The sequence below is a fragment of the Homo sapiens genome, chromosome 2, assembly GCF_000001405.40.
Source record: "Homo sapiens chromosome 2, GRCh38.p14 Primary Assembly".
Classification (NCBI taxonomy): Eukaryota; Metazoa; Chordata; class Mammalia; order Primates; family Hominidae; genus Homo; species Homo sapiens.
The window spans coordinates 69,175,137-69,193,420 of NC_000002.12; the positions used below are offsets into that span (position 1 = coordinate 69,175,137).

An 18,284-nucleotide genomic window follows, 5' to 3' on the forward strand; every position below is an offset into this window, starting at 1 on the left:
GTCACTCACACAGGGCACACAGCCCCTTTTAAGACTGACGTAAAGATGGTTACTTATTTTCTGTGCTCTGTCCATGGCCCTAGTGTGTAGCTATTCTCATTAGCTCTCTTATCCCTATGTTTCCCGCCTGTCTTCTCTTTCATGCTCCCATGTCACCATGTCTCATCATGAAGCTTTAGAATATATCTGGGAGCTTGGTATGGTGACTCACTCCTGTAACCCCAGCACCTTGGGAGGCTGAAGCAGGATTGCTTGGGGCCAGGAGTTCGAGACCAGCCTGGGTAACATAGGGAGACCGCCCCCCGCCCCCGCCGCCGATATCTACAAAAATAAAAATTAGCTTGGCATGGTGGCTGTCACACATGTGGTCCCAGCTACTGGGGAGGCTGAGGCTGGAGGGTCACTTAAGCCCAGAAGCTGGAAACTGCAGTGAACCATGTTCATGCCACTGCACTCTAGCCTGGGCAACAGAGCAAGACCCCAACTCTTCCAAAAAAAGAAGAATGTGTCTTCTTGTTTTAATCATGGGTTAGTATATATGCACTGGGGGGCGGGTGAGAGTGGGAAAGGATGTGAATATGTGGACATCTATAGGTTGGTATTTTGTATCTGAAGGGAGAGGGGTGCCTATTGAAAGCATTGATGCCCATCCAGTGAACAATAGGCACCTGGCTTTGAAGGATGAGCTTATTTTCAGATTTATTATTATGCTCACTGATCCTAAAAATTTCTCTGTGGCAAGAAATGTTTAGATAGGAAAACTGAGCTATGGAAAATTATACAGGGCCAGATAAGTTGAACTCCTAATAGCAACAGGTCTGGCATCCTTCCAGCCATGTCTACACAGACACCCAGAGTAGCCTCCACCCTGGAGGGATGAAGGGCCAAGCTACTGTCAGGCATCTTCTTGCCAGTGACCATTAAATACACATACACAGACACCCCCCCACACACACATACACACACACACACATACACTCCAAACAGAAGTCCTAGAGAAGGCCCAAAATTCCGTATTCTATGTTTTAATACTTTAAAAAAAAAAAAAAAGAACATTGCTGCTAGGAAAATAAACACCTTATTCTTTACTGAAGAATACAGGACAATCCTTGTGTTGTCTTTAATCACTTTGTTTACGTAAACAGATATAATGGTGCCATGACATGTGAAATGCGGCTCAGAATGGTGAAATCTTAAATCCTCTGGAGTGTTGTATTTACAAACAGAAGTATTGCTGGATCTTTCTGACTTGCCAATTCACTCCTAGGAGTTTACCTCCAAGACTGACATTGAGGGGATCTCCCTGACTTCTCCCCAAAGACCAAATGAGACAGTCCTGCCAGTTCTACTTTAAGTTCTGCCCTTCGAAGCCTCCCAGACCTGGGAGTTTCTGTAGCCTTAGTCCTTTAATTCATGTCGTCATTCTCACGAAACTCACTCCTCTATAAATGTAAACAATATTGTCGACAGCTGAGTTCTCTTTATTTTCTCAAAATATAACACTGTGCTGGCAGGTGATGGGGACTCAATGATAGTTGCTTGAGTTAGTGAAATAATTGACAAATAAAAATCTCTTGTTGAGCTTATGCATTTAAGATGTGCTCCAGTTCAATGACATTTAAAATTAATTTAAAAGCTGATTTAAAGCTACTGCCTTGGGTTTGATTCTCTTTCAGTTATGTGCTCCTTTTCATTGATAGTTCCTATTGAAACCTGCAGTGAACTGGGAGTTGTAAGCCTTCTTGAGTCAAACCGGCCATGTGGCTCTTCTAGTAAATGGATACCAGAGAAGCAGGAAAGTTAAAGAACTTATCAATTGAGTCTGAGAGGGCCACCCTTTGCACAACTCCAGGGGACGCTATTCACATCAAGTCTGTGGAGTTGTCCCATGCACAGTATACATGCAGGAGTGAGGCAGTCCCAGAATCTGGAAAATTCATCCTTTCTACCCTCTGGTTTGCTTAATAACTAACAGTTAAACGTGTTGAGTGAGTGGAAGGTGGAGTTGTGGAAACTCATGAGGCGAGAGCATTGCATTCTCTGGGGAACCCGGGAGTTCTTGGCAGAATAGGTTACGCTTAAACAACATTAAGGGATGGGTAGAAGCAATGGGAGAAGGGCTTTCCAGGCATGTGGAGCCCTGCATGTTGAAGCGTGGAGCTGCACAAAAGCCTGGCATGATTGGGAAAGATGGGAAAAGTTCAGGGTCTGAGGACAGCACAGGGCTAATCCAATTACAGGCTAACCAAGTGAGTTCACAGACTTCATCCTCTACAGCTGTTTCTTCCTCGAACAGCACTGTGCCTGCAGGCACACCCAGGTCTGCCTGAGGACACGCAGGTCAGAAGGGGCCTCTACCATCTGAGGAATGTGCTGCCATTTGTGTTACCCAAGCTCCAGCCAGCTGGACGTCTGGAGCCACCACATCCTTTCAGATTTAAACACAACTTCCCTTGATGGGAAACCGGCCTCCCTCCCCAATCCCTGCGGTTTCTCCCAGGCACCACTGACTCCTACTCCTCGCTTCTTCCGCGTTATCTCATCTTCTCGGTTTGCTAGACACGATCTAGCAGCTCTGGCACAAATCCAACTGCGCAGCAAATTTTACTGAAGGTTTAAAAGTATAGTGCAGCCCACAACCCCTGACGGAATATTAAAGGGACTCTTATTTACCACCGGCCACCCCCACCACTCGGGGGGATTGGGGGTCGTAGCTGTTCACTGGTAGCTCTGCCCCACTCTGTTCTGCTCATCTTCTCATTCCCCACAAGCCCCTGATTTCTCATTCACAGCAATTGGGCTCATCCAGCCCCATCCTCCAATAACCATAGAGGACAGCAAGGTTTTTGTTTTGTTTTGTTTACTAAAGGAAAGCCAGCTCACACTGAGGATTTCTATACTGGTGTTTTCTCCCTCCCTGCTACCATCCTTGAAGGGCAGTGTAGGAGGAAGATCTCAAGAGCCTTTATGATTTAATGAGATGTAAAAATCCACCCTCCAGTGCTGCCGAGTTTCTTAGTGGCCTTGCTGAGGGGCTGGGATTCTACTCCGTCCATTTTTGGCCAAATGGAAAGACACATCAAAGATTCCCTTCTCTTCCTGGGGATTGCAAAACCCTTCTGTCTCCAGAATGTGTAAACAGACCCATGCTAACTGCAGGGGAAACTCTGACTCTCCCGTCCGTCAGCCCCTGGGCCTTTGTGCTGCCTGGTGCTGTTGTCTGAGCTTGGCAGGCCAGCTCCGGTCAGGGGATTAAGCGACGGGCTCGGTGGCGCGGCAGCGTGTGGAGATTGCCCAAGCCCTAGGCATTTCCTGTTGCGAGAAGGCCAGGCCCTGCCCTTGAGCACGAGGGCGGCGCCTCCTTCCCCAGGCCAGGGACAAGAGGGAGGAGCCAGGGACTAGAGGGAGGGGCCAGCGGCAAGAGGGAGGGGCCAGGGGCAAGAGGGAGGGGCCAGGGACTAGAGGGAGAACTGCCCCCGTGTGCAAGTGGAACCTGGAAAGCGGGGAAACCGGCTTCATGCATCTTACTATATCCTGAGCACTCAGCGGGGTTGCGAATTAGAGAAAGCCAGTTGTAAATCCTTCTTTAAGTTCTTTTCGTAAAATATAGGGGGAGAAAAACCCCTGGACAAGGCATCAGAAAACCACACCAGAACTTCACCTTTAGGGGTCACTTCATTTCTCTAGATCTGACTCCTCTTCTGTGCAGTGAAAAGACTTAATTAGATGAGCTCCTAAAAAATTAAGAGGCTCATGAACCTAGTTGAGTCCCCTGTGGAATAAAGCGGCTTTATTCTTGGAGTTTCTTAACGTTCGTGGTGCTGCTGTGTTCAGCTTTAGGGGATAGAATTTCTGTTATCTCCTTTGGAAAACTGCCCCAGACTGGGAATGCCCAGGCTTTCAGAGCCATATTTTGTATATCTGTGTTCACAGCCACTTACACAGAAACATACATCCACCTCCAATGTAAAGTTTAACCACATATAGGACATATAAGATTCCTGCTTTCACATCATAAGGTGAAAGAAACCTCGGAAATTCTAAGGTAAAGTAATATGAACTATAATATTTTATTGTGTTGGGGACTTTATTTTGTTATATTTTGCAGTTATAAATTATCAAAATTAAGTCCATGTGCGGTGGCTCACACCTGTAATCCCAGCACATTGGGAGGCTGAGGTGAGAGGATCACTTGAGCCCAGGAGTTTGTGACCGGCCTGGGCAATATGGCAAAACCCCATCTTTACAAAAAATAGAAAAATTAGCTGGGTGCATTGATATGTGTCTGTAGTCCCAGCTACTCAGGCAGGCTGAGGTGAGAGAATTGCTTGAGCTGTGGTAGTTGAGGCTGCACTCCAGCCTGGGTGACAGAGTGAGACCCTGTCTCCAAAAAAAAAAAAAAATTATCAAAATTAGCAGGTACAAGGAGAAGTCAAAAATGAGCGTGTATTTGTTGCCATCAAATGATTGGAAAAGCAAACCACAAAAGAACAAAATCCAGACTGGCCAATGCTGAGAAACAATCAAAGGAGAATGAGGTTGCATGAGTTCAAATCCAGCTCTGTCACATACAAGCTGGGTGACCTAAGTCATTTAACGTCTCTATTCTCGTTCTCTAAAATAGGAATAATAACACCATGTACCTTCCTGGGTGGTTGCAAGATTAAAGGATTAATAATACATTTAAAGTGCTCAAAAGAGTGACTGGCACATAACATGGGAAAGGCTGCATAAATTCAATGGTGTGTTATCATGAATGCAATATGTGTTTATCGAGCACCTACTTTGCACTTAGAATACAAGGGTCAGCAGAATCTGAGAGCGAGCAACCAAGTAAGAGAGAGAGAGACACCCAAGTGTCAGCTGTCAGAATGTTGTACGTCCTAGTCTGCTGTGACCTCTCTGTCCTTTAAGATGTATTAAATTTTTTGAAAATCATTTTAAAGAAGACTGCCCATCCCAAGCACAACATGTAACTCAGGGAGTCTTAATGTGCCAACATGTTTCTGCTTTGCTTTGTCACCTTTTGTCCTGACCTCTCCTGCCTTTGCTTTTTTGCACCTTGCCTCCTGCATGGGGTGCCCCATCCCACGCAGTGGTGCCCTGCATAGGACTTCACCCAAATGCCACCAAAACAAGGCTGTGAGAAGCAGGCTTCAGCATTGTGAGCAATTTCTCCCTCTTTTGTTCATTCCTCTGCTTTATCAACCCCTTTTCCAGCTTCCTTTCTCTACCCAGGAGAGAAATCATGCCACTTCCTTATAATCCATCCATGACTATAAATGGTGATATTTTTCTCCCCACAACAAGAATAATTACAGTGCCAAGATGAAGAGCAGTTGCTACATCTCCTCCCTTTTTCCATCCACAGTTACAAGTTCCTCATCTTCTTTCTTCATCTTAAAAAATATAAACACTAACTTCTTGTCACTGAGCTAAGTTGCAGACACTTAATTAACTGCTTTATTTGAGTCATCTTATTTAACTTATTTGTAAATTCAACAGATAATTCTTGGGCACCCACCACATACAACATAGTGCTATTCTAAAGACTGGGAATACAATTGTAAGCATGACAAACAAAAGCCTCTGTGGAACGTACGTTCTAGTGTGGAGAGACAGATATTAAGTAAATATCAAGCCATGATGAGATCCTTAACTAAAAATAAAACAGATTGATGGAATGAAGAGACCGCGGCTACTTTAGAAGAAATTTCCAGGGGAGGTTTCTCTGAGGAGTAATATGAAAATCCATCCATCAGAAGATGGGGTGGGGGAAGTGCTTTCCTAGACAAGGGGACAAGGGGACACTGTGCACAGGCCCCAAGACAGGAATTTGCCCAGAGTATTTGAGAGAGGGCAGGCAGGCTGGAGCTCAGGAGGAGGGGGGCACATGATAAGGAAGAAGGCCAGAAAGGTGAGCAAAGGCCAGAACACACAGGGCAGAGCTGGCGTTTGCACTTACTCTGCTGCTTTGTGGAGAACAGATCATAGGTGAGTCTTAGGGCAGCAGGAGGCCAGTTGGGAAGCTACCACAGTGTCCATGAGCAAGTGCATGGGGGCTTGGGCCCAGGATAGTGGTGGTGGGGATGGAGAAGTCAACAGATTTTAGATCTTTAAGTAGTAGCAACAGAACTAGCTGGCAAGTTGGGACAAGTTGGGGAGAGGCAGTAAAGAAGAGAGAGGCAGTGGGGAAGACTACAGGAGGAGCATGTTTAGGGTAGGGAAATCAGGACATCTCTGCTGTGGTGTTGTTGAGATGTTTTTTAGCCCCCAAATAATGTGAATGTCAAGTGAGCAGTTGGAGTTCAGAAGCATCAGGGCTGAAGATGTAAAGTCACAAGTCATTAGCATGTAGGTGGGGTTAGATGCGATTCCCACAAAGGAGTAGAGCTGTAGAAGAGAACAAGAGAACAGGACTGTACCACAAACTTACCAGGTAGCACTGCTTACATTCCCACTCTACAGATAAGGAAAACAAGCTTAGGTGGTTTCAGTGATTGGCCCAAGGTTCTAGGAAACAGTAGCACTGGGATTGCACCCAGGCAGTCTGACTCTATAAGCTCTACTCCTAATCACTTGGCTGTAGTAGGCAGGTCCACACAGCAGTGCTGTTTTGCTTCCTTCATGTGCCACAATTTCTCTGCAGGAAGAAGATGATGATGGTCTGCCTAAGAAAAAGTGGCCAACGGTAGACGCCTCTTATTATGGTGGGAGAGGCGTTGGAGGCATTAAAAGAATGGAGGTAAGAGGACAGCTTCATATACACTTATCTATGTGCTGACTACTCCCATCGAGGTACCAGCCGGGCCTGACCCTGCTTAGCCTCTAGATATCAGGCATGCCCAGGGCAGTATGGCCGTAGACCACACTGATGACTCAATGTCAGAAACCCAAAGCAAATTGCTGAAAACCTCCTTGAGGTCTGGTGGGGATATGGATTGTAAGGCAGACGGATGGAGAGATAGGAGGGACAGCCTTTCACTGTGCGTTTCCATGTCTTGCCCACCGTGAGTCAGAGCAGGTCACACATCAGCTCAAACGTCCTCGTGATTTCTTTTCTCACTGGAATAAAATCCAAAGTTCGTACCTGAACCTGCAAGGTCTTTGCATGTGCTGTCCCCGCTGCCTGGACAATTCCTCCCTAAATATCCACCCATGTGGCTCAGCTCTCTGCTCCTTTGGTCCTCCCCTTTTCTCTTTTTCCACAGTTTCCCTCTTCCCTGGCCCTCAAAACCCAAAGGAATCCAGGGTTGGGTAGCATTCACATTGCAACTCATGCATGTATTTGTCATTCTCATTCTCGAGGGGCAGCATATTTTGTCATTTCATTTCATTGTATTTTGTTTATTTTAGGTTCGTTGGGGAGAAAAGGGCTCCACAGAAGAAGGTGCTAAGTTGGAAAAGGCAAAGAATGCAAGAGTCAAGATGCCGGAGCAGGAATATGAATTCCCTGAGCCGCGAAATCTCAACAACAATATGCGTCGGCCTTCTTCCCCCCGGAAGTGGTACTCTCCAATCAAGGTGTGTCTCTTTACTCAAAAAATCTATCATCAGTCCTGATAAAACACTTACATAGTGAAGAATCAAAATCTTTCCACATGATAAAATCCCAACCTAAAACCCAGCTTATCACAGGGGAACAATTATCTAAAATTATGGACTTGAAAGTACTAGTAATTACTTTGTCAATTTCCACATAATCTGGGTTGAAAACTAGGCTTTTTAAAAATCACCGTGGTGCTCACTTCTGCAGCACATATAGTAAAACTGGAACAATATAGAGAAGATTAGCATGACCCCTGGGCAAGGATGACATGCAAATTCGTGAAGTGTTCCATATTAAAAAAAAAAAAAAAATCACCATGGCAAGGTACTGGAAAAAGCATGGACTGTGAGTCAAGTAACTTGGGTAGTAACCCCAGAGAGTGACTATAAATTTCCATAGCATCTCATAACTTCACTTAGCAGACAATCTACTATCTAAGAAAAATGGCAGCCTTCTCCTTAATGCTAATCTCTACTCCTTTTGCCATAATATAAGCCCATTCCCTTTTATTTGCGCCTCCTGCCAGTGTATCAGGGCCCACCAGCAAATCTCACTGGTCATGGATCTAGGACTCACTCTTTCTGGTTGTAAGCAAATCTTTTTTCTCCACCATCTGTCTTTCCCCCACACCTCCAGATCTTAAAATCCTCTTTGGTTTATTGGGAAGTGTAAACCGTTGGAGGCAGTTAATGTTTCCTAAAGGCCTCTTTTTTATTTTCTATTTATTTATTTTTTGAGACAGGTTCTCACTCTGTCACCCAGGCTGGAGTGCAGTTGTGTGATCTCTGCTCACTGCAACCTCGACCTCCCAGGCTCAAGCCATCCTCCCACCTCAACCCCCAAGTAGCTGGGACTACGGGCACGCACCACCACACCCAGCTAATTTTTGTTTTTTTTTTTTTTTTTTTTTTTTTGAGGGACGGATTTCACTATGTTGCCCAGGCCTGTCTTGCACTCCTGATAAAGCAGTCTGCCCACCTCGGCCTCCCAAAGTGCTAAGATTACAGGCATGGGCCACCATGCCCAGCCTGAAGGCCTCTTTTCTATTCTTCTTGGTCCAAATGGCTTTGAATTCACATGATTCAGTTAACACCTTCAATCTTTAGCCATGCCCATAAACATCTGCACTATGCCACTTGTCAGAGAGCACTGGAAAATTATAGCTGAAAAGACTCTAGACATAATCTGTCCCCACTCTCTGATTTCATACTGAGATAGGCAAAGTCCTTGTTCTGCTGAGGTCTGGAAAACAAGGCCCCCAACTCAGGGCTACAGACTCCAGTTTCAAGCTGCAAACAGAACCGAACCAACTCCAAAGCCTCAAGTCAAAGACTCAATAGAGCCAGCTCCCATCACCATCCATACACATACACACACTCACACACACACACACACACAGCCTTACCCCCCTTCCAATAGCAACAAAGATTATTTTCATCATTCGCTGAGTTAATTTGCTAATTTTGGATCAGGGCTTCTCCAACAAATCAAAAGAAGTACCATTTCAGGCAGTGTAGCGAAACGTTATTGGTGGTTACCTTTCCTCAGCTGAGCTAGCTCAAGCTCACCTGAATTGCCACGCATTTCTATTTTGGTTTGCCATGTTTGAAGCAGTGAGATTCTTTTTTTAGGATAAGCCTGCCCTCTGGGGTAATGGATTGAACTCTGGAAAGATGTGGGCAAAATGCAGCTTGCTTGAATAACAGCTGTTTGCTTCTAATTATTTTCTAATGAAGAACATGCAGTGGCGTGCATGCATGTGCAGACAGGAAGGAGCCAAGCAGATTCTCAGCCATGAAGAAGAAAGGGGATTTTCTGTTATGCCGTTCTCAGGAATCTGTACCTTGTGACTAACGCCACATCTTTGGTTACAGCCAGGTTTTTGTTTCTGTAATCTTGGACACTGAGAGAACATTAATTCTGTTTGAAAACTCCGGTTTCTACTTGAGAGCATAGTCCTCTATTGACTGGCGGTTTAGGACTGAATTTGATGAGATAAATAAGTATATGGGCCAATACGTTTAGAAATCTAAAAACATTCCCAACACCCACTTGGAATTAGTATCAATTCAGTGAGTATTCATTGTGCAGCTACTGTGTGCCAGGCACTGTAGGATGTTGAATATACAGAGGCTTTCAAACCCGGCTGAGTGTCAGAATCACCTGAGAGTGATTTAAAAAATACAGATTCCCAGGCCCAGTGACCCAGAATCTCACAAAAGTCCTCCAAAAGCACACTGGCTCTCAGCATTCGCCCATCTTTTCCTATCAAGTGAAACTCCTTTTGTTCACAATGCCTCCCTTCTCTAATTTCACTTCCAGACTCCCTGAGTGATAGGCCTCTGTTGCCCCAATTATCACTTCATCAGTCCTGACTCTTGAGCTTCTTTTTAGTCTCTGTAGTAAAGCACTGGCTCTCAAAGGTGGTCCCTGGAACAGCAGCATCAGCATCACCCAAGAACTTGTTAGAAATGGACATTCTTCGGCCCCACCTAAGATCTACTAAATCAAAAACGCTGGAAGTGGGGCCCAGCCATCTGGGTTTTAACAAGCTGAGTTAAGAAGTTGTCACCAGCTGGGCGCAGTGGCTCATGCCTGTAATCCCAGCATTTTGGGAGGCCGAGGAGGGTGGATCACAAGGTCAGGAGTTTGAGACCAGCCCCGGCCAACATGGTGAAACCCTGTCTCTACTAAAAATACAAAAATTAGCTGGGCGTGGTTGTGGGTGCCTGTAATCCCAGCTACTCAGGAGGCTGAGGCAGGAGAATCATTTGAACCCAGGAGGCAGAGGTTGCAGTGAGCTGAGACTGTGCCATTGCACTCCAGCCTGGGCAACAGGGCAAGACTCTATCTCAAATAAAAAAAGAAAAAAAAAAAAAAAAGAAGAAGAGTTGTCACCAAAGGTCCCAGCCAGCATTCCATAGGAAGTCCTTGGAGGGCAGGAACTGTGGTGCCTGGATTGTTAAAATAGGCAAAGAGGCCATGATTGCACTGCGGTGATTTTTCAGGCATCTCAGCAAGGAGAGCCACATTAATGTTCACACTGGGTCCATTTTTACCACAAACACAACTGCTGAATTAATGTTAAGTGGTTGGGAATCTGAGTGTCTTAGGAGTCAACTAAAAGGCCAGATGGAAATGACCTAGGATGCCGGTGGACTTGAAGAGCTCCTCGGCAGGACTCCCTCGTTAGGACGTGCAGAGCATGAATCCTCCTTTTGCCTGGTGGAACAGCCAATGCCAATGCTTACTCAGCTCCTTCTACTGTAGAGGAAATGCATACATAGCCGTTGGTGTGATTACTCATGTTTATGAGCCTTCTCTCCACTAGATTTGACCCCCCGCAGGCACCAGCTATGCTTTGAATCCCCAGTAAACAGTGTTGTACCTGGCTCATCCCTTATTAAAGAGCTGAGGCATGAACGGTAATTATGAAACCACTCCCCAGAGCATCCTGCCAGTCAAACCACACAGACCATTTTGGCATACTCTATCCAGAAAACTGACATTCTTCATGCCATCTCTCTGAGGAGAGAAGAGAAAAAGAGATTGTTTTAGATGCAACAAGAAGGATAGAAGCACAGGAAGAAATTCAAAAGTAATCATGTGTGCTCTCCGTCCAGAAGTAAGGCAGGCTTGCTTCCAGAATCTCAGGGTTCATCCTATTTTACATGATGTTCGATCCACAATGAGTCCCGTGCTAGCCACAATGCCTAAGGACATTTGCTCAGCCTTGGACAAAACATTTAGCCTTATGTGGTACCATAAACTCTGCTTCCCTTTCCCGAACTCACCGTGGTCCTAATAGGAAACAGAAAGCACACTGAAAAGAGTTGAACTAACAGAGATGTGGGCAAAGCGAAGGGAATCCCCAGGGATGATGGGGCAACCAGGGGCTGGCAACAGCGAGAGCTGTTACACCTGAAGAGCATGTGGGGAAATGGTGTTACTGGGTTCCAGAAAGAGCTGTAGCCCTGCAAAGAGACTACTCGACAGGAACTGTTTCTTTAGTTGACAATCTAAATCCACCTGTTTTTATATGATCTGCAAACAAAGAATGGTTTTTACATTTTTAAAAGGTTATATAAGTACCTATATAATGTTGCCTCTTGCCCTGCAAATCCTTGGCTCTTTACAGACCAAGACCAAAGGGCAGCTAGGTGATCCAGAGGCAGGCTTCCAAGGCATGGAGAAGGCAGGCAGAGAATGGATGGGGGCCGGCAGGTCAGGGAGAGTGACCCATCCACTCGCTGCCTGCCTTGTACCTCTGCTATAAGCAAGGAGAACAACAGCTCTACCTCACACAAAACTGTCAGCAGGTATTGGAAAGACTCATGGCTCCCCAGTGAAAGGAGCCAGAATCGTGTACTTACTGAATTGCATTGCATTAGACCCATTGCTTTACATGAAATGGGGTTTTTGAGAAGCAGGTGAGCACATTTGCCAAGCAAACCCAGAGAGAACACACGGAGGGAAGAAGTCCACAGTGGGCTCTTCTCCACCCACCATCTCCCCGTCTAATTTAAGGCACCAACCACACCAACCACACTTCCCCCCTTCCTCATTCCAGACTCATGATCGGGAAATTTTCCCTGATATTTAGCCTGCATTTTCCTTTGCTTGGTTTTCACCCCCGGATTTACAATACCCCGTGCTTCTCATTAAATTGGAGCTGACCATTTCAGACAAGTGAAGTCATGCCCAGCTATATGGGCAAATTTTCTTAAAAACCAAAAGAAGAAAAAAAAAAGCGCAACAAAATCTATCCTATGCATGGCATGCACACACTCATGAGTGCATGTGTGTCTGTGTGTAGGGAAAGTTTCTGACGTTATCCGTTAAATCCATTAATTTATTTCCTTTGGGGGAAAGCTGGGTCACACTATTTATCATGTATTTCTTTTTTTTTTTTTTTTTTTTTGAGACAGAGTCTCACTCTGTCACCAGGCTGGAGTGCAGTGGCGCAATCTCAGCTCACTACAACCTCCACCTCCCAGGTTCAAGTGATTCTCCTGCCTCAGCCTCCCGAGTAGCTGGGACTACAGGCGGGTGCCACCACATCCAGCTAATTTTTGTATTTTTTTTGGTACAGACTGGGTTTCATCATGTTGGCCAGGATGATCTCAATCTCTTGACCTCTTGATCTGACCGCCTCGGCCGCCCATAGTGCTAGGATTACAGGCATAAGCCACCGCACCTGGCCTACCATGTATTTCAAAGTGTAAAAAGTCAGGTGTCAGTTTATAGTGGCCTTATAAGTTGAACTACTCTCAGAATTCTCAATCTCTGACTGTCTTCCAGCTGGCTAAGGCAGACAAACCAGAAGAAAAGATACAACTGCTGCCTGGCAAAAAAAAAAAAAAAAAAAAAAAAAAAGAGGAAACCCCACCACAAAAGCTGATGACCCAGGGTGCTTTGGGTTTTTTGTTTGTTTGATTTAAAAATAGGGTCTTGTTCTGTCGCCCAGGCTGTAGTGCAGTGGTGCGATCATATAGCTCACTGTAGCATCAACCTAGGTTCAAGGGATTCTCCTACCTCAGTCTCCCAAGTAGCTGGGACTACAGATATAAGCCATCACACCCAGCTAATTTTTTTAATTTTTTGTAAACATGGGGATCTCACTGTGTTGTCCAAGCTGCTCTCAAGTGATCCTCCCACCTCAGCCTCTCAGAGTGTTGGGATTATAGGCATGTGCCACCGTGCCCGGCTCCCTACCTCCAGAATGCTATGAATGCTGGCTGCATAATCATTCCCAGCACAGTCTTATTGCTTAGAAAGAAACCAAAGCTAGAGTTTACATAGAACTTCCACTTTGCCTTTGTGAATTGGCAGGTATTTTCTGTGGCTAAGATACAGTTTGGGAGCATGGAATTGGTAAATTTCTCATTTTATAGTCAAAATTTGTCAACTTCAAATGAAAGAAAGCTATTTATAAATGTCAGCTAATACAATCTGCCAGAGGGCTTGAGGCTTGTGGATAAATCTTTGTCCTAGCTTCACAGAAGCAGTTGGGCATTTTGCCAGGGAGTGAGGACCAGTGTCTTAAGTGCATGCTGTGGAGAGGTTTGTGCATGACAGACATCCAAGTCTGAGATAGATAAAGCGGAGGCAACTCAGAAGGATCCTCTAAGACTTTAGGTGAAGCCCAGAGACTGTTTAGAAGACTCTTCTATGGCACATCTAGCCCCAAAGGGTTGTTATTAACGAGCCCACTACTACTGTCTTTAAATGACAGACTTCTGCCTACATTCAGAAAAATCAAGGTTCCAAGAGCCTTTGTCATGCAGTGCTCATTGAATTTTGAGAGTTATTTTTTATTCTGATTTTGGTTGTAAACACTGTTTTTTCTAAAGCTTACTTCTTGGTTGCAAACACTGTTTTTCTAAAGCTCTTGCATAAAAACTACCTGTTGTAGGAGTAGAAAGAGGTTATAGGTTGTATTGATTGCCTGGATTGTTTTCTATGCCACAGACTGGAGAGTTTAGGTTCATTTGTGGGACAATCAGAACTCAGAATGCTAAGGATACACCTGGAACTAGCTAATCTCGCCTTGGCCAGAAGAGCCCAATGACAGCAGCTCACCCGGATCAAGCATGCCCTGCAAGTCGGGCAGCGCTTTCTATGCACTAATGCCTTTATTATTGATAACAGCCCTTGAAAGTAGAAAGTACTTATCCATCGGTAAATAGACACCCAGATCAGTAGAAACTACAAATGCAAAACCAGAGCACAGAGGGGTTAGGTAACTTACCCAAATTCACACTGGCCAGTAAGATGTTTCATGGTTCATTTTATTGACTGCAGTGCATCCATTTGGGCTCACAGTAAAATTCTTTATTAATCAATAGGAGAGAGGACAGGAACCCTGGAGATGAAAGGCCAATCAGGAAACTATTCCCAGAATGAGTGACAGATGATGAGGGCCTGGGCCCAGGCAGGAGCTGTGGAGGTGGTGGGTCAGGGGTGGATGGGAAGAGGCGGCAGCAGAGCTGCTACAGAGAGAACATTAACGAGACACGGTTGATGTTGGACATGAGCAGGTGGCAGAGAGAAGGGAGGTTAGAATGATTCCTGGTACCCAGTGTGCCCATCTGGAGAGATTGGTGGTGCCATGAATCAAGGCAGGGTGTGCAAAAGGAGGAGCAGGTTTGGGGAGAAGAGTTAGTTCAGTTTATAATGTTTGACTTTTTGATAGCTGTGATGTGATATGATACATCCACATTACAATTAAGATTTAATAGGTAAATAGATACCCAGATCTGGAGCTCAAGAGAGGACTGGGCTGAGTATAGAATTTTTGAGTTGCCGGCAGATAGGTGGAAGTTGGACCCATGAGACTAGATGAGAGCACTCAGCTGAGAGATGAGAATAGAGGTGCCAAATGAAGGCCACCATGTCAGGTGTAGGCAGAGGGGGAGGAGCAGAAGAAGCTGAAAAGGACTTGGCAGAGAGGTCGGAGGGAGCAGGTAGAAGCTCGTGGCACAGAGACTGAGGGAGAGTGTGCAGGGGAGAGGCCCAGCACAGCGGATCTCCCCAAAGAACCAAGCAAAATGAGTGTCAAGGCATTTGGCAGTCGGGATGCCGTGGGTGGCCTTAGCAAGAGCAATTTGGGTGGAGTGATTGGGGCAGAAGGAATAAAAACTGTGGCTTGGGGGTAAGAGGAAAATAGTCTTGGAGAAGCACAGAATAGAAGATGGACAGATGCATGCTTACAAAGTTCAAATTGCTGGATTCCTACACTCTGTATTACATTCTTTTCCATCTCTCTACAGAGCCTCCCAAATGATCATTTTAATGACTTTACTATGATCATAGGTAACATTTAATGAATACCTTTTATGAGGCAAGTACCTAACTTCAATATTTAATTTTAAGTCTTATAGCAAGTCTGTAGAGTAGACAGTATTATCATCTCCACTTTAAATATGAGAAAAGTAAGGCTTAGGGAGATGAAACTACTCATCTAACCCATAGAGCTGGTGAAAAGGAGACCCACAGTACAAACTGGGGCAGGCTGGCTTCAGTCACTTTGTGCTTAAACACTACACTGTAGGGTGATCTGTTGCCACAAAGAAACATCATTTTCTACTCATTCTCCTGGTATTATACATCTAGGTGGTTTCTGGTCTTTTGCTATGCATGTAACTTTAAATTTCTGCTGAGTTAATTAATGTGTTCCTTCAACAGCCCAGTGTTCTTCTTTCTGCCCCATCTCATTGCCCATTTGTCACAGAGTTGGGTGATTAGCACACACAGCTCTGTGGGTGGGCTGATTTACAAACCCAAATGCTGGGAGTCCTCTCCTTCTGAAAACGAAGGGGAAAGAAAAAAGAGGCATTCATCCAGGAAACCCACCTGGTTACATCCTGAAATATAAATGCTTATCCAAAAGAACCTTAAAGGAAAACATTTAGCTGGTGATTGGAACGGCTTAATACAGAAAACCATGCAGCACACAGCAGCAGTTCTATCCAGCATTCTAAAATCATTTCAAAATATTTTTCAAGGCGTTTGTAAATTCCTTGCCAAAATAGATGAGAAACACTACACTTGGCAAGACAAAGTTTAACCCACAAGACAAAGTTAAACCCACAAGAACTCAAACAACAGTTTATAAAGATTAAAGAACACAATTTTATATGTGTATATAATCCACCAGAAAATCATTTCAGAACATGAAATATTTGAGATGCTTCTTAACACTGCCCCTATATAAATGCTTTGTGTCCAGGAACTTAAACTCTTTAGACTCCTCCAGCCTTCCCAGCACTGTCATTCAAAGACCCCTGCAAGATCAGGATTTTCAAACGTTCCTAAGGCTTGGGTAGGAAATACATTTTACATTTTGGCCCAGTTTGTGCACACACAGTCATACACACACCCATACACACTTAACTGAGATAAATTTTTCACAAAATAATGCTTATCCTCACCATGTGCAATTACTATTTTCTCTTCTATTCTATTTCTTAAAAGTTCTGGTCCCATACAAAATTGATTTCATAAGGGCTTAAAGGGTTGCAACCCACAGCTGAGAAACCCTATGTTCTAAAGGATCTAAATTAAAGCGCTTTCACCAGAAGATCTGCATGAGGAAGAATCTGCAATTGGTGTAATAGAAAGCATATGTGATTTGGAATTAGACAGACATGGATTCCAATCTCAACTCTGGTTTATAAACCATCTGCCTTTGGGCAAGTTACTTGATCTCTCTTTGACCCTCCATTTCCTCTCCACAGCCCTCTGGGACTGCTGGGACAATTCAATTAGAGAACACTCATGGAAGCACCTACCACTTAGTTACATTCATTCCTCCAACAAATATATATTGAGCACCAGATGTTGTCCTAAGGGATAGGCAGACAGAAGTGAACAAAACCATCAATACCCCTGCTTTCATGGAGCTGGCATTCCAGGGGGCACAGACAATCAGCAAATTAACATAGAATATATCAGGGAGTGAGAAGGACTGTATTAATTTCCTCTTGTCGCTGTAATGAATTACCAGAAACTTAAAGGTTTAATCAACACGAATCTATTATCTTACAGTTCCAGATGTCATAAGCCCCAAACGGGTCTCACTAGACTAAAATCAAGGTGTTGGCAGAGCTGTTTTCCTTTTGGAGACTCTAGAGGAGAATTTATTTCCTTGTCTTTTATAGATGCTAGAGGCTGCCCACACCCACTGGTTTATGGCCGCCCTCCATTTCCAAAGTCGGCAACATTGGGTTGAGTCCGTCTCACACCTAATCACTGTGACTCTGCTTCTATCCGCACATCTCCTTCTCTGGATTTGACCCTCCTGCCAAAAGCCACCATGGGTCTTCTAGGAAGGACCCATGCAGTTAGACTGAGCCCACCGGATAGTCCAGGATACTCTCCCCATCTCAACATTCTTACCTTAATCACATTTGCAAAGTCCTTTCTGCCATGTAAGGTAACATATTCACAGGTTCCCGGGAATACAAATAAAAGTCACCTGTAGGGGCGTTCTTGGTCATCAGTTGTGAAAGCCTTTGTGCTGACATAGTCACTCTTCTCCGTTTCAGCCAATTACATACAACCTCAAAGGGGTTGTGGTTTTTGGTCATCTGTAATGCTTGGTAATTTGTCTCTCAAGCCCAGGCTTCAGAGCAAGTTATAGCTGCTGAGCAAGCCTAGAAGACAGCCAGGGATGTGCATTCCAGGGGCCTTTAATTGGTCTTGCCCTGTCAACACTTAACGTTTAGTAATTTTCCAGAATTTATCATTAGTGTCTTTACTAATGAGCTCTGGGCACCAAGTGGGAAGAAAAAACTTTAGTGAAATTTGGAAAGATTGACTTGTGGTCTGAGGATATGCCCAGAAATGTGATAAAGACAAAAGCCCAAAGCTTGAATCAAGTTATGTTTGCAAACTTGGGGGGCACTCAAACCTCAGGGTGCGTCCTTCACAAGCATCAGAGTCTCCTGTGTGTCTCTTCTTCTCCTCCATTCATGAAGCTCCAGTTTTGAATTAAGGGACTGCAGAGTCACTAATCCCATCATGACCATATTGACAGTGTTGTGTTGTTCACATGACTGAAGAAGCACGGAAAGTTCTGTGAGCCTACGGCGGCTAGCCACAGGTCTGGTTTCATATGTAATCTTGGTGCATTTGTTTTATTTCAGGGAAAACTCGATGCCTTGTGGGTCCTACTGAGGAAAGGATATGATCGTGTGTCTGTGATGCGTCCACAGCCAGGAGACACGGTAGG

The 18,284-nt window shown here is 44.8% G+C and overlaps 1 protein-coding gene and 2 pseudogenes across 1 annotated transcript in view, besides 2 other annotated features; 2 read left to right on the forward strand and 1 right to left on the reverse strand.

Annotated features, from left to right (window-relative positions):
- Positions 1 to 18,284, forward strand: part of ANTXR1 (ANTXR cell adhesion molecule 1) — a 236,184-nt gene that overhangs the window by 161,993 nt on the left and 55,907 nt on the right. Inside the window, exons 15-17 of the mRNA NM_032208.3 lie at positions 6,650 to 6,745; positions 7,357 to 7,524; positions 18,199 to 18,279. Of these exons, the coding sequence (NP_115584.1) occupies positions 6,650 to 6,745; positions 7,357 to 7,524; positions 18,199 to 18,279 (345 nt within the window). The remainder of the gene's footprint in view (positions 1 to 6,649; positions 6,746 to 7,356; positions 7,525 to 18,198; positions 18,280 to 18,284) is intronic.
- Positions 2,221 to 2,515: a silencer, noted in NCBI's record as "tiled region #8391; K562 Repressive non-DNase unmatched - State 8:EnhW". NCBI's record gives its function as "represses a minimal TATA promoter and a strong SV40 promoter by Sharpr-MPRA in K562 cells {active_cell/tissue: K562}" and the evidence as "EXISTENCE:reporter gene assay evidence [ECO:0000049][PMID:27701403]".
- Positions 3,241 to 3,535: an enhancer, noted in NCBI's record as "tiled region #12475; HepG2 Activating non-DNase unmatched - State 5:Enh, and K562 Activating DNase matched - State 5:Enh". NCBI's record gives its function as "activates a minimal TATA promoter and a strong SV40 promoter by Sharpr-MPRA in HepG2 and K562 cells {active_cell/tissue: HepG2 | K562}" and the evidence as "EXISTENCE:reporter gene assay evidence [ECO:0000049][PMID:27701403]".
- Positions 6,761 to 6,867, reverse strand: RNA5SP96 (RNA, 5S ribosomal pseudogene 96; annotated as a pseudogene).
- On the forward strand, positions 7,741 to 7,847 carry RNU6-1216P (RNA, U6 small nuclear 1216, pseudogene; annotated as a pseudogene).